Source organism: Homo sapiens, chromosome 1 (genome assembly GCF_000001405.40).
Source record: "Homo sapiens chromosome 1, GRCh38.p14 Primary Assembly".
Lineage (NCBI taxonomy): Eukaryota > Metazoa > Chordata > Mammalia > Primates > Hominidae > Homo > Homo sapiens.
The window spans coordinates 91,266,481-91,281,001 of record NC_000001.11 but is presented as its reverse complement, the minus strand read 5'-3'; the positions used below and the strand labels follow the sequence as shown (position 1 = coordinate 91,281,001).

The following is a 14,521-nucleotide window of genomic DNA, read 5'->3' as shown; positions in this document are numbered from 1 at the left end:
AATCTAAATCATTAGCATCCCCTAGAAGGTTCTATATGGTCACATGGTCAACCAGTCCCTAAGCAGCAATGTAGTGGTAGCTGCTATGTGGTCTTGCCTCACTTCTGTAGATTTGGCTGGTAAGGACACCCTAATGGATTTAAACAGTTTATTACTTACACAGATGGCAAAGCAAGATCAGCATGGTATTAGCTGCTTACATCCCCAATTCCACAGGATGATACCAAACTAGGGGGGTCAGATGACAGACAACATGAGTGGTGGGTTGCTTTGTTTTTGAGAAGTGAACTCTAGGCTTCAGCTAAGCAGTTTTATCTGAAAGGGGCAAAATGGAAAGTTCCATACCTTAGTGGAATCAGGGAGGCAGATGAGAAACTGCCGCATGGCAAGTCTTCTGCAAGATCGAGGGTCTTCTGCAAGGTATGGAGCAAATGTGAAATGGCCTTTGATAGCTCCTCACAAGACTACCTATCTTGCCATTTTTAAGGATGATCATGGGGCATTCTGCCAACAGTTGAGTCTTACCTACATGGCCTATATGGAGATATGCAATTGCCATGGTGCCATGGTGGAACTGTTCCCCTACAAACATAGGCTGCCTTTACTACCACTATAGTCTCATCTTACATACTTTCTCATATTTGCTAGCATCAGTCATATTGACCTTTCAGTTTCCCCAATGTGCCATGCTTTTCCTTGTCATAGAGCTTTAGCATATGCTATCCCCTCTGCCTGAACTCTAATTTCTCCTCCTTCTTTGCCTTCTTAACTTCCCTTCTTTCTTCAGTGCTCAGCCCAACGTTCCTGACCAGAACAGCTTCACCTGTTACCACATAGCATGATGTACCACTCCTTCACAGCATTCAGAACAATTTTAGTTTAAAATTTATTTGTTTAATCTTGGATTGATGTAATAGTAGAGATAGCGGATATAATATATACATTAATATATTTGTTTATCACTTAATTGTCAATTGTTTTTACATACTTAAATTACATTTTATTTTTACGTCTCTGTGAGGTAAACAGAACAGATATTAAATCTTTTTTCCCAAATAAGAGCCTATATTAGAGCTCATTTTTTTTCTATTTTAGTGTTCCCTGTACTTCACCACTATGTTTTTTCTGTAAATACATTCAATATAAGGCAGCATACAGTAAGCAAGAGGCACAGAGAAAATGCCACAGGGGCCCAAAGGAGAGGGAAATCAGATCAGGTGATCACCATAGACCTCCAACCCAGAGGTGCCATTTGAGTCAGACTTGAAGGTTGGTAGGCATCTGTTGGGCAAGGAAATGAGGGTCTTCTAAGACAAGAGATAGTATCAAAGCTACAGTTATAAAAAGGCATGGAACTATTTGAAGAATGGCAATTGAATGTGTTTTGATGGATGTAGGGCTAATATGGGTCCCAGGAAGGGAAGCTGGAATTGGATCATGCAGGACCTTGAAGATGGAATTGATTTTGCTGGCAGTAGGAAGTAACTCATGTTTCTAAGTGGGCAAATTGGTCTGATCAGCATTGGACTTTAAAAGTATTAAATAAGCAACAATGTGTAGAATAAATTGTATCATGGAGGACTGGATTCAAAGAAACCAGTTCTGATCTAAGTGAGAGGTAACAGGACCATGACTTGGGACAAAACACCTGAAACAATAAGTCGTGACACACTTTACAAAGTTTAAAGTCAAAGCCTTTCAGTCAGTGCCTAATAGGAACACACTTGGGTCTGAGGAACGTTAGGTTTATTTAACATACTGCAGCAAAGGAGAGCACCATAGCCACAGAACTGTGGGTCATCTCAAGGAGCCAGGAGGATTTTCTTATAGGATTTCAGAATCTTATTATAGGATTTCAGAATCTTATTATAGGATTTCAGCTTGTGCTGGGTGACTCTTAGGAAGGTTTAGGGAAAGCAGAGATCAGTTCTAGATTGGATGCTCTCAGGAAGTAAGATGTTGGATATTTTGGTACATTTTTTTTTTGGAAGTGAGAGGATTTAAAAAATAGTAGTCATCTGTGTTAGCCAGAAGAGGGGGATGTTTCATTATTTTTTATGTTTCTTGAGAGTTCTTTTCTCTAGTTTCAGAAACATTTACATGGTAGTCTTATCTCTGTCTTCTTCTACTATGGTCACAGAGTGGCCTTATCTGGGTATTTATATTCTCAAAATTGTTTGCTCAATTGGGAATACTGTGGTTAGCTGTCAGCTTCCAGCCGCCCAGGTGTTTTCTTTTTACCTTATCAGTACCCAATACATTGATCTGTTCAGCTCTAAGGACCAGCCGTTGCCTCATATGTTGAGCAGCCTCATCCATTTACCCTAGGCTGCAATATGTATATTATCACTGTCTAGACGTGCCATGACTTGGAAAGCTTGACTGAACAATGGTACCGAAAATGAAGAGTAAAGTACCAAGAAATGTTGTAAAGTTTTCAAGCTCTCCACTATCTCCAACATTTCTGGTTCACTTAAAATCTATGCTGCAGCAAAAATAAGCTGATTTCAGCTCTTACAATCGGTGATTTGCTGCTTTTGGGTATTTGCCCTCCACCTGGAATATCTTCCCTTTGTCTCATTCTCATGTTCGTATTTCCATCTGTCCTTCAAGGACCAGTTCAAACATCTCTCTCCTTCCCCGTGCTACTAGTGAGAGCTAAGATCAAGAAAAAGCTGATTTAAAATATAATAAATTAAGAGTAAATCATATATTTAGATATATTAATTCTAACTTAGAGGAGTCAGGATGGAAACAATCTCTCTTTCCTGTAAATTCATATAGCTAATTTCTTAGATCCCTAAAGCATTTATTTCTAATATGTATTAAATATGTATTACATCTTGTTTACTAACTTCTGTCAGCAGTACCATCAAAATGCCATAATGTTTACTTCTTTACAGGTTTTTCAGGCTTGAGTACAAAGCAACAGAAGTGTTTTTAAACTCCACCCTCATTCTTACCTCATTTAGTAAAAAAGTTACTGATATGTGGCCATATTTGGCCCTATTTTATATATATATAATATAATGTATATAAAGTATATATAAAATATAATATATAAAGTATATATATTATATATTAGTGTATATATTATATATAAGCATATATAATATATAAGTATATATTATATATATAAAGTATATATAATATATATTAGTATATATTATATATAAAGTATATATATTATATATTAGTATATATTATATATAAAGTATATACATTATATATATTAGTATATATTATATATAAAGTATATATATTATATATATTAGTATATATTATATAAAGTATATATAATATATATTAGTATATATTATATATAGTGTATATATTATATATATTAGTATATATTATATATAGTATATATTATATATATTAGTATATAGTATATATATAAAGTATATATATTATATATAAAGTATATATATTATACATATTTAAAGTATATATATTATATATATATAAAGTATACACACACACACACACACACACCCACCAGGGAGATTATACACACACACCAGGGAGGTTGAGAGAAGCTTGTAGGTGGCTAGATGTTTCTTGTTGGGAGTAATAGTGGGGCAGGGAGTAACTTATCAAAAATATGTTTTAAAAATTACCAGGCATGGTGGTAAGTGCCTGTAGTCCCAGCTACTTGGAAGGCTGAAACAGGAGGATCTCTTGAGCCCAGGAGATTGAGGCTGTAATACTAATTATCATGCCTGTGAATAGCCATAGCACTCCAGCCTAGGCAAGATAGCAAGACCCTATCTCTTTATTAAAAAAAAAATTACGTGGATTACAAAACACTTGAGAAAGTATAAAAATCAATATTTTTGTATTGTCTGAAAGGAAGGAAACTGGATAAAAATTAATTATATTAAATTAACAATAATAAATGTAGTGACAAATGGATTTGTTTTTCTTATATTAATTTAGGAACGACTGCCAGCAAAAAACCTGGGAACCGAGAATGCAATCATCTTTGTAAAAGTAAACATACATGTGGACATGACTGCTGTGAGTTCCTTAAAACAAGTTTATTTAAAGTGTTCAAAATTGAAAGGTCTTTGGTGGATAGTAATGACATCCTAATTATGTATGATATTTATATTATGCAACTTAATAATGCAAATAATTTTCTCTCTGTGGGCAACATGAAAAAAGTAAATACTAGATTTGAAATTTTAAAGAAATTTGACTTTATAAGAATAAGATCTGAAGTTTAACCTAAAGAATCTGAAGTTTCTTTTCATAGGTAAAATTGGAGTTGCACAGAAGTCAGAAATTAAAGAGTCAACAATTTCTTCATATTTATCTGATTTAAGAAACAGGAATGCTGTTTCATCTGTTCCTCCAGTTAAACGTCTGAAGGTTAGTTTTAATAACATTTTTCCCATTGTTCTGTAGTTAAACGTATATAAATATTCTTTGTTCTGTCTGTCAATTAGGTATCCACAGTGTACTATAGAATTACTTGTGGGCTTGACTAAGAATATTACCATTATTCATAATCCATCTTCCCTTCTTTCTTCTTTCCTTTTTTCTTCTAAATCTTTCTTCTTTCCTTCCATCTTCTTTGAGCACCAAGAATATGCCAAAGTGCTAAGATACAGTGACGATTAAGACAGTCTTATTCCCAATCATAGAATTTGTAGTAGAGTGAGAGATACAAGTAAGTAAACATGCTTTTTTAATATAGTGTGATGAGTGATTCTGTGACAGAAGTACAACACAGTTAAGTTTAGACAGAAAAGGTACTCAATCCACATTTGATGGACCAAGAAAGGATTCCTAATAGATGTGATTGGGACCTGAAGGATAAGCCAAGGATGGAGGGGCAGGCACCAGAATGATCGTAGGAAGGGATAGCTAAATATTCCAAGCATAGAGATTATACAAAGGTCCAGAGGTATAAAGAAAGAGAGAGAGAGAGGGATCTTTAAAGAAACTCTTTCTCAGTAATACAGTACGTCTAGAGTTTGATTACAAGTAAAGGAGTAGAGAGAGATGAGGCTGAAGAGGCAAGTAGGAGCTAGATCATGCAGACCTTTTTGCTATTTTAAGGGATTAGACTTTATCATGAAAGTACTGAGAAGCCAATGAAAGATTTTAACCAGTGACATGATCAAAATTGTATTTTGTAAAAGTCACTCTGACTGCAATGTAGAAAAGGGATTAGAGGATGATAGAATAGGAACAAAGGGACTCATTAGGTGGTTTTTACAATAATCTAAGCAAAATAATGGCCTAGTTTAGGGTAGTGGCAATAGCAATGGAGGGAAGTGACTGGGTTAAAATATTTTTCAGAGGTAGAATCGCTACCTTGCTACTTCATTGGTTATAAGAGACAAAATAGAAGGAACAGTCAAAAATGATGCCCAGGTTTCTGGCATTAGCAACTGGGAGAAAAGTGGGGTCTCATTCAGGTAGATATTCTGAAGGAAAAGCAAGTTTGCTGAAATAGAGAACAGGATAAGTTCAACTTGGGAAACACTGAATTTAGAGGGCCTGCAAGATGTCTAGCTAAGGATGTCCTACAGACAGCTGGATATAACTGTTTGAAAATCAGGAGACAGAGCTGAGCGAGAAGTAGAAATTTGAGAGTCATTCACATGTAGATGACAATTGAAGCCACAGGAATAAATGAGATCTTTGATTGAGAAGGTGTAGTGTAAGAAGAGACCTAGTAAAGAACCATGAAGAATGCCAACATTTAGGCCAGATGTGGTGGCTCACGCCTGTAATCCCAGCACTTTGGGAGGCCGAGGCGGGTGGATCACAAGGTCAGGAGTTCGAGACCAGCCTGGCCAACATAGTGAAACCCCTGTCTCTACTAAAAATACAAAAATTAGCCAGGCATGGTGGTGGGCACCTGTAATCCCAGCTAGTCAGGAGGCTGAGGCAGAGAATTGCTTAAACCTGGGAGGCAGAGGTTGCAGTGAGCTGAGATTATACCACTGCACTCCAGCCTGGGTGAAAGAACAAAACTCCATCTCAAAAAAAAAAAAAAAAATGCCAACATTTAAGAAGGGCCTGAGTGAAATATTCGAGTCAAGAACTAACCTGAGTTTCTCCTAATTCATTGATTTGGGGACTTTATGTACCAGCAGGAATTTTGTTGTTTGGCTCATGTGTTACAAGTTATTGATGTGAAACTGATAGTTGAACTTATTTTTGTTTCATTAATAGATACAGATGAATAAATCTCAAAGTGTGGACCTTAAAGAGTTTGGTTTTACTCCAAAACCTTCCCTTCCTAGTATATCAAGGTACAAATATAATGTTAATATCTAAGGTAAAATATTTATCGTAAACTCTGTTCCTGCAGGTAACCACTTATTCAGGGAAAGATAGTCACTGGCTACCATCAAGTCACAGTTATCGTTTAGTTCCATAGTGAAGCAATAACATCATAATGGTTTCATTATCTTTGATACCCTAAATTTATTTAGAACTCTGCAGTTATGAAATAACATTCATTAGATCATCTCTTCCCTAGGAAACTACCTATCCTCTGTCATTCCCTTAGGTTCTCTCTTTATAGGGAATATAAACTAAGTGACAAGAGTATACTTTAAAATGGAAATCATGTTGGTGTACAGTCTAACCTTTCCATTTAGAAGCTCAGTCCATATTAATAATATCTCAGATTTATAATACGAAAATTACACATTTGTGCATTATATTTTCTGACTTAAACAACAACATGGCCCATAAAATGAGGTATTTTTTCGTCCCATTGTATAGATGGAAAAACTGAAGTTCATATTCCTAGTTAGCAAGCAGAAGGCCTTAGGTGGTAACTCATTGTTCTTTTCCTGTATCCTGATGCCTACAGGACAATCATATATGTAATTTCCCTGCTAGATAAGGGCATTCTATATGCAGGAATGACATTCAATGTATTTAACAACTAGTACAGAACAGGAACTGACTCATCAGAATAGATGCCAGCAGTACTTCTAGAGATCCTGGCTTTTGTTATCTAACTAAGGGCATGTAAAGGAAAGTATTGGTCACTTCCATGAAACACCTATTTATTTGCTACCCAGCCTGGGTCCAGTGTATCATAGAAGTGTTAAATGGATAAATCATTATTTTTGTTTATATGAATAAATAGTTTTCAGGCTTAGATTAATTTCCATATTTTCTTTAACATTTTCATGGTTTTATCTTTATAAAGGTCAGAATATTTAAACATATCTGAATTGCCTATAATGGAGCAGTGGGATCAGCCTGAAATCTATGGAAAAGTTAGACAAGAACCATCTGAATATCAAGACAAAGGTAAATTACCATTGATACTTACTTGAGAGAGTAAATGGCTTATTATTACTTTGAATTGACGAGTAGTGTTATTGAAACACCGGCATCTGAAATTGTTATGATTATTAACTTGGCAACATTTTTCTCTTAGATTACTGAATCATTTTCAAATTCTTGGGTCTGTTATTGAGATGGTCTTACTCTGTTTGTTGTACTTTTTAAAAAAAAATCTCTTTCCTACATAATGCTATTTTAATTTAAAGATACTATGAGGAAAACCTGAGCAAATAAGGGATCCTTGGGTATATAGAGTATTAACATACTGAATGATTACATTCATATATCATTAGAATTATTTAAAATAATTTTATGTTTATAAAACTAGTCCAGTTTTACAAAATATCAATGTGACCTTGGGCAAGTTATTTAATCTCTTTGGGCTTTAGTCTTATCTTTAAGATGAAGGTATTGAACTGGGTGACCTTTAATATCTCTCCAATTCTTAAACCTATGATTCTTACAATTCTATGTTAGTATGAGAAAATAACTTAGGTTGTGGGATATAGCTAGTTTGTAATCTAGATTTGCTTTTTTATCTGTGTCCGTCATTAAATTAATGAGATAATGCATATAAATTCAACACTGCCTGGTTCATCATTACTCTGGTTCCTGCAATTAATAGAGCATAATTTCCCTGAATAATGCTATTAATAGCCAGTCTGTTAAAACATGAGACAATCCTATCCATTGAGTTATTTCTTCAAGTGGCTGTATGTAGAAATGGTAAGCTTGGGGTTTTCTGAAAATCATTTCATGTGTTTGGCATTGGCTTCTGTTGACATTCTTTTCTTCATGCTGTCATTTTTTTTTCTTCATGTTGTAACTTTTTTTTCCTCTAGTCATAATTTAAGATTTTACAGAGTCAAGGGCTGGAGTATTCACTACCTCTTGTGATACCATGGCAGCTATTAGGCCCAATAATGAGATCAAGAAAAGTTCCCTAATCTCACCTGGAGAACCAGAGCATTTATCCAACTTATTCAAAGCCTGGATGTCATTACAAAGCGGATAGGAAGTATAAAATTGTCAACCTTCTTATATTTATCTTTGTTCAACATGTAGCCCTCTAACTTACTCCTTCCTTATATTACTACATTATTACCTGTCCTTCTGCATACAAGAGCTTGTCTATCCTTCCCTCTGCTTACTTTTGTGTTATATTTACATGGTTTTCCTACTTTTCTTTCCCACTCACTATTCCAAATCCAATTTATATTATGATATTAAAGTCTCATCTAGATACTTTAACCCCCAATAATAACTCTATCCCTGTTTTACTGAGTGGGCCATTTTTTTTTTAAGAAGTTGCTGCATGGTATAGTAGTTAAGTTCGCAGGATCTGAAAACCATCTGTCCAAGTCCTAGCTCTGATATTTAGTATAACCTTTCATAATCTACTTAACCACTTTGTCTAAGTTGCTCATCTGGTTATATTTTAGGGGTTTTAGGATTAAATGAGATAATGCATGTAAAGCTGTTAGGGTTTCTGGTACTGTTAGTAATAACTAATTATGTTTATTATATTTTTCACATATTAGTCTTTGGTGGCAAAACATACTTTAAATGTATTCAAATACTGCTTTTGAGAATGTTTTTTAAAAAGCATGGCAGTTTTTATCTTCTGTATTCCAATTTCAAAAAGGGAAGAAGAAAAAATGTCACAAATTATATGAGAAAGCATGTTGAATCATAAGATTTAAATTGGAAGGGACCTTTATGCAATTTCTCATTTTATAGTGAAAGAAGCCAAGACTCCAAGAGATTAAATGACTTGCCCAAAAATTTCATATCTAATTAATGGCAAGGCCAGAAAAAGATTCCATATCTTTTGATTCCCAGCCCAATGCCATTTCTATAAAATGAAATTGACTTTTAGTGATCAGTGGAGAACTGAAAATTGAACCAGTAGTATATGAACTCTTTCAGCTTTTTGCCCCACCCCTCAACTATATATTTCCCTGTCTCTGCATCCATCTGTAACCATCTATTTGTCTTAAAAGAAAACTTATCTTTTCTTCCACTCGAGGCATATCTCTCCTCCTGTAATCTTAATTCTATCCAATCCTGCTTTCCCTGGGACTTTAGAAGATCATTATCCATCTCCTCTTTCCCATATTTTCATTGTTTCCTCTCCACTGTGTCTTTCCCTTTAGCATATAAATATGCTGAAGTCTCTTCCTTCTTCAGCTTCTGGTCATGACTTTTTTATTATAAATGATAAAAATTCTACTCAAAATGACTTAAGCACAAGAAAAGGAACCAATTGTCTCAAGTAAACTGAAAAGTATCTGGCTTAATTCTGGCTAAATCAAGGCACTCATGCCTCTGGCTTTCTCTCAATCTTTTAGCTATGCCTGTTGCTACTTGGCTTTACTTTTTAATAGGGTTTCTCACACAGCAGGTAGCCCCTAACTTACATCTTACCAGTTTAGCGCCTCAGTGGAAAAAGGTAGACTTCCCTGTTAGTTTTGGCAGACCAGAGCTCATTCTAACTGGCCTCATTTGAGTCATGTGTTTATCCCTTGATCAATCCCAGTAACCTGACGATTGGGTCGTTGTATACCTGTGGCCCCAGAGAAGGCAGGGCACCATGAATAACGGCCTTACTAGGATCCAGTAGAATTGTAGAAGCAGTTTCCTCAAAGGAAAGGGAGGGTACTCCCACTAAAAGAAGGGAAAGCATACCAGGCAGACAAAAAACAGAATTCTAGAGTCCCCATACCCTCTATCTCTTGCTTTCTCATCAAAACAAAAATTAATTGAAAGAGCAATTGACACTCAGTATGCTCATCGCTTCCTTATACCCTAGTTACTCTTTATTCATTAAAATTTAGGTTTTCTGTGTATCAGTCCTTTGAAGCTGTTTTTGTTCAGGCCATTTAGTGACTTTCTAAGTTCTGAATTCAGTGAACTGTTTTCAACTGTTAATCTCTTTGACCTCTATAGTATTTGATACTACTGGTCTTTCCTTTCTTTTGGAAATCTCTCCTTTGATTTCAGTAAAACCATTATGTTGGTCTCCTGTTACTTCTTAGACTGCATGGGCTTTTCTTCCTGTTGATGTTGCAAAAGGATTCTTTTTTCTTTTTTTTTTTTTTATTCTTCTCACTTCAAAAACTTTTCCTATACAGTATCACCCAAGCCCGTGTCTTTAATCACTGACTATGTTTTGATAATTTCTAAAGCTGTATCTCCCATCTAGACCTTTCTTTCTAACTCCAAATCCATCTGTATAATCACCTTCCTGGACATATCCACCTAACAGTTAACATATCAGACATGTCAGCATCTGAACTCTGTCTTCTTCTTACCTCACTCTACACCTTTTCTTTTTGCCTTAGCTCAATGAATGAACTCTTTACTTTGTTAAGCTGCTAAAGTGTCCTTCTAAATAGCTCACCCCACATGTAAATAATCACCAAATCTTAATTATTTTGCCTCCTGCACATCTCTCATATTTGTTATTTCCACTCTATCCTTTCTGCTGATACTCTAGCTTAAGCATTCATTCTCTCTTGTTTACTGCAATAACTTACTTTTCTCTCTGCTTTCAGTCTCATTATCCTTCAATCCATAATATTCAAAGTGATCTGACAGACATATCTGGTTGTGTAAACCTTCTGCTGAAACATCTTCAATAGTTATCCTTTACCTATAAGAAAAACAAAAAACAAAAAAATCTCCTTAATATGGCAAATAAGCTTCAACGTGATCTAGCACTTAACTACCTGTGCAGACACAATGGACCCTGCCTTCTCCAACTTTGTGCTCCAGAAATCCTGAAAACTTACAGTTCTCCCCAAATTCTCTGTTCTCTCATATTGCTGTGTCTTTTACATGGTGTTCTCCCTTCATAGCATAGGTTCCCTTTGCTCTTGCCCTGCTTCACAACTACAGCTCTATCAAGCTGAAATTCCGACTACTCTTCCTTCATATGTTATCACCTCAGGAGTCTGTCTGTCATGTGGTATCACCTTAGAAGAGTATGTCTTACTTCCATTGCAGGTTTAGATCCTCCTTCCTCTGCATTCCCATTGCACTCTGTACAAACTTCCATTTTTAGTACATATATACATTGTGTGTCTCAGTGTGTGCACATCAACATACAAAAGTAGAGTAATGTGAACTGTAGTTATAGGTACAGTTGAAGAATAAGGAAGGGTTTGGACAGGTGAAGAAATTCATAGAAGATATTTAAAGTGGAGGAAACTCAGTGATATGCTGGAGCAAGTTTATACTAACTTATGAGAGATGATTATTAAATTTTCAAGAATCTTTCAGCCATTATTGAAAATTTAATTACATAAACTTTCAATTAAATTATGTTAAAAACAAAGGCAAAAATACTCAAAACTCATCACTTCCTAATTGTTCTACTGCATTTTACTCTTATCTGTGTTCTCGAGATTATTTATCCATATGGTAGAAATACTATATTATAGGGTTCTGTCGTGCATTTTTTCCCAACTTCTTATTCAATTATGTCACATTAATAGCTTGAAATCAGTTATGGTGGGAACATTTATACCATAGGAATCAGCAAATACTACCAATCTGGGTTTGATTTATTGTTTTGCTTATTTTTTAGACTTAAGAAAGTGAAGGATAAAATTTTAATATTGTAGATTAAACAAATGTGTGTTGTTATTGTAGCCATTACATTGTGAATAACACAAAAAATTGAGAGAATATTCTTCTAGTATTTGAAAATTACTATCTAATTCAGGAAAGAAGTTGCTTAAGTCAATGGTGAATGAGTGAAATCCCAACAGATGTCTTTGTTGTTTTATTAATATTTTCATCTTACTTGTTAGAGTCAACAAAAATATCAAACAACATTCACATGAGAGCTACATTCGTCACTTGCAGCCATAGGTTGACTACAGATAAAACAGTGGCAAAACTTAATGAAAACATTCAATGAGAATCAATTAGATATATGGAATTTACATTTAAGTATACCATATATGTTGTTATTTGTAAAACGTGTGCTGTATAGCCTTTACATCAGCAAAGATTATAATAAACTTATATGTGTATACATAAGCATACGCTTTTTGTAGAGGTAGCTATTAAACATTTATTAGCACAATACTGTGTAAAACTGTACAACTAAAGGCATTTAGCGCCTCATAACAATCTTTTGAGGTAGGTACTGTTGTTGCCTTATTTTGCAGAATCAGGAAGTTTGAATTACTGTCTAAGACCATACAACTAATAAATGAGAGAAGTGGAATTTTCACTTATGTAATTTGGCTCTAAATCCAGGCTGTAAACAATGAATAACACTGAGGATTTTTTAGCAGGAGAAAAATAAATATTATTTATTTTGGACAAATACCTTTTATAACAATACTGAAAATTAACTTTAGGGAGAAGATCTGGAGGAGGAAGACCATTTTAGAAACTATTATAATCCAATCTTGGAGTAGAGTTATTCTAATATGGGAATTAAGAGGAAAAATTAATTGCCTAAAAAATGTATTGAAAATTAAATTTAGTGCAACTTTATACAGTTAATAGAATTGGCTGAATACAGTATTCAACAATGCTTGACACAATGCCTTTGAAAACTATTACTCAAGAACTCTGTTTAGTAGTTGAAAGATGTGTTTGATATATCAATAGACTACGATGCTTGTGGTTTAAAAAGTACCTATAGTCTTTTATACATACACATAACAGATTTTTCTAGATGTAACTGTTCTACAACTTCAAATGAGAAAGTCTCTCAAACAGTGTTCTTCAACAGAAATCTTAATATATCTGGAAACCAACATTTGACAGATGCAGATAAAAGCAATTCTCTATTTTCAGAAGTTTTGAATGTGAACTTTGAATTGGGAAATGAAGTTTGGGATGATTTTGATGATGAAAACTTAGAAGTTACTAGCTTTTCAACTGATACTGAGAAGACAAAAATATCAGGTAAAATCATACTTAGCATGCAATCATTTCATTAGGAATTCTTTGAATATTTTTCATTTCAGCTCCTGGAACTAAGTTTCTTTGCCTTTGTTGTGTGTGCTTGTTTAGTTAGATTTGGTTTGTTAAGATTATAATTTTTAGCAAAACTGAAAATGTGACTCTTCTACAAAGAACATTTCCCCCCTAAGAACAGAGATCAAGGTTATTCCATGATGATAATGTAGCAAATGAGCACTTTCTATTCTATTGCTCCTATCTCTTGTAAAAGTCAAATTCAAATTGTTTATTCAATTTTCTCTCATGAAACAGACTATTTTGTTCTCCATTCTAAGATCACAAATGGTCTGCTAATATTTGTGAAGAACAAAAAAATACATTTTTAAAACTATTCATCTGCTTGCAAAGAAAATAACTTTTATTTCTAGTTGAAATATGGACTTTCAGCTTGAAGTAAATAAATAAGTTAATACATAAATAAGTAAATAAGAAAGAAAGATTAGTTTCTCCTGTACTAGAAATTCTATTTAAATCATATACAACCCCAAAATAATGAGGCTTATTAGCTCTTTGAGTGAAAGGCAAATTTACTCTATTTCACTAAAACAGAGAATTGAAAACCTTGGCCAGTATGTGACAAGATAGCAATGGAGATACTGTCTCCCATTAGGGCTGACAGAAATAAATCAGTCCCTCAGCCTTCTCAGTGCAGACTGGTATTTCCACAATTATAGATACCACTTACCATACCCCACCTCATGTTTTTAAAAGAGTATTTCAAAGGGAAGCAGTTAGAAGTTGAAATGTTATTGTTTTGGGGGCCCTTAGAATTACCTAGAGAACTAATACTGCTTCTGAAAAGAACAGGATTTGACCACCTTCACAGAATAGGCCAGGAGAATCTCCATGATGTGGGGTCATTAGGCACAATTTTGTTTATCACCAGACAACTACTGTTCCCTACCTCAAACTTAAGTGTCATTGGGTACTGCAAGTTAATAGGCAATGTGTACTGATCCTTTGAGGTAGCCTAGTCCTAAGACGGCACAGCTTTGTCACTGGGAAAATCAGTCTCAATAAGTGCCATTTTCCCCCATGTATAGAGCACTTTAAATGATTATGAGCAGACCACTGAAAATATTGAGTGAACTTCAACTTGATCATTTATGTGAATGAAAATGTAAGTACATAAATAACGAGAGTGAGTGCAAAAACACAAACTGTTTTTCCTCACTCTCACACCATGATCAGCCCAGAAGACATCTAT

At 34.5% G+C, this 14,521-nt stretch overlaps 1 protein-coding gene across 15 annotated transcripts in view; it reads left to right on the top strand.

The window, feature by feature from the left end:
* Window positions 1-14,521, top strand: part of HFM1 (helicase for meiosis 1) — a 147,242-nt gene that overhangs the window by 127,006 nt on the left and 5,715 nt on the right. For all 15 annotated transcript variants that reach the window (NR_165455.1, XM_011540852.3, XM_011540857.2 and 12 more), the window contains 5 exons: window positions 3,940-4,020; window positions 4,259-4,374; window positions 6,193-6,272; window positions 7,187-7,290; window positions 13,147-13,257. Coding sequence is in view for 14 of the 15 variants with exons in the window: in XM_011540852.3 (XP_011539154.1) it covers window positions 3,940-4,020; window positions 4,259-4,374; window positions 6,193-6,272; window positions 7,187-7,290; window positions 13,147-13,257 (492 nt within the window). In the remaining variant the exon portion in view is untranslated. The remainder of the gene's footprint in view (window positions 1-3,939; window positions 4,021-4,258; window positions 4,375-6,192; window positions 6,273-7,186; window positions 7,291-13,146; window positions 13,258-14,521) is intronic.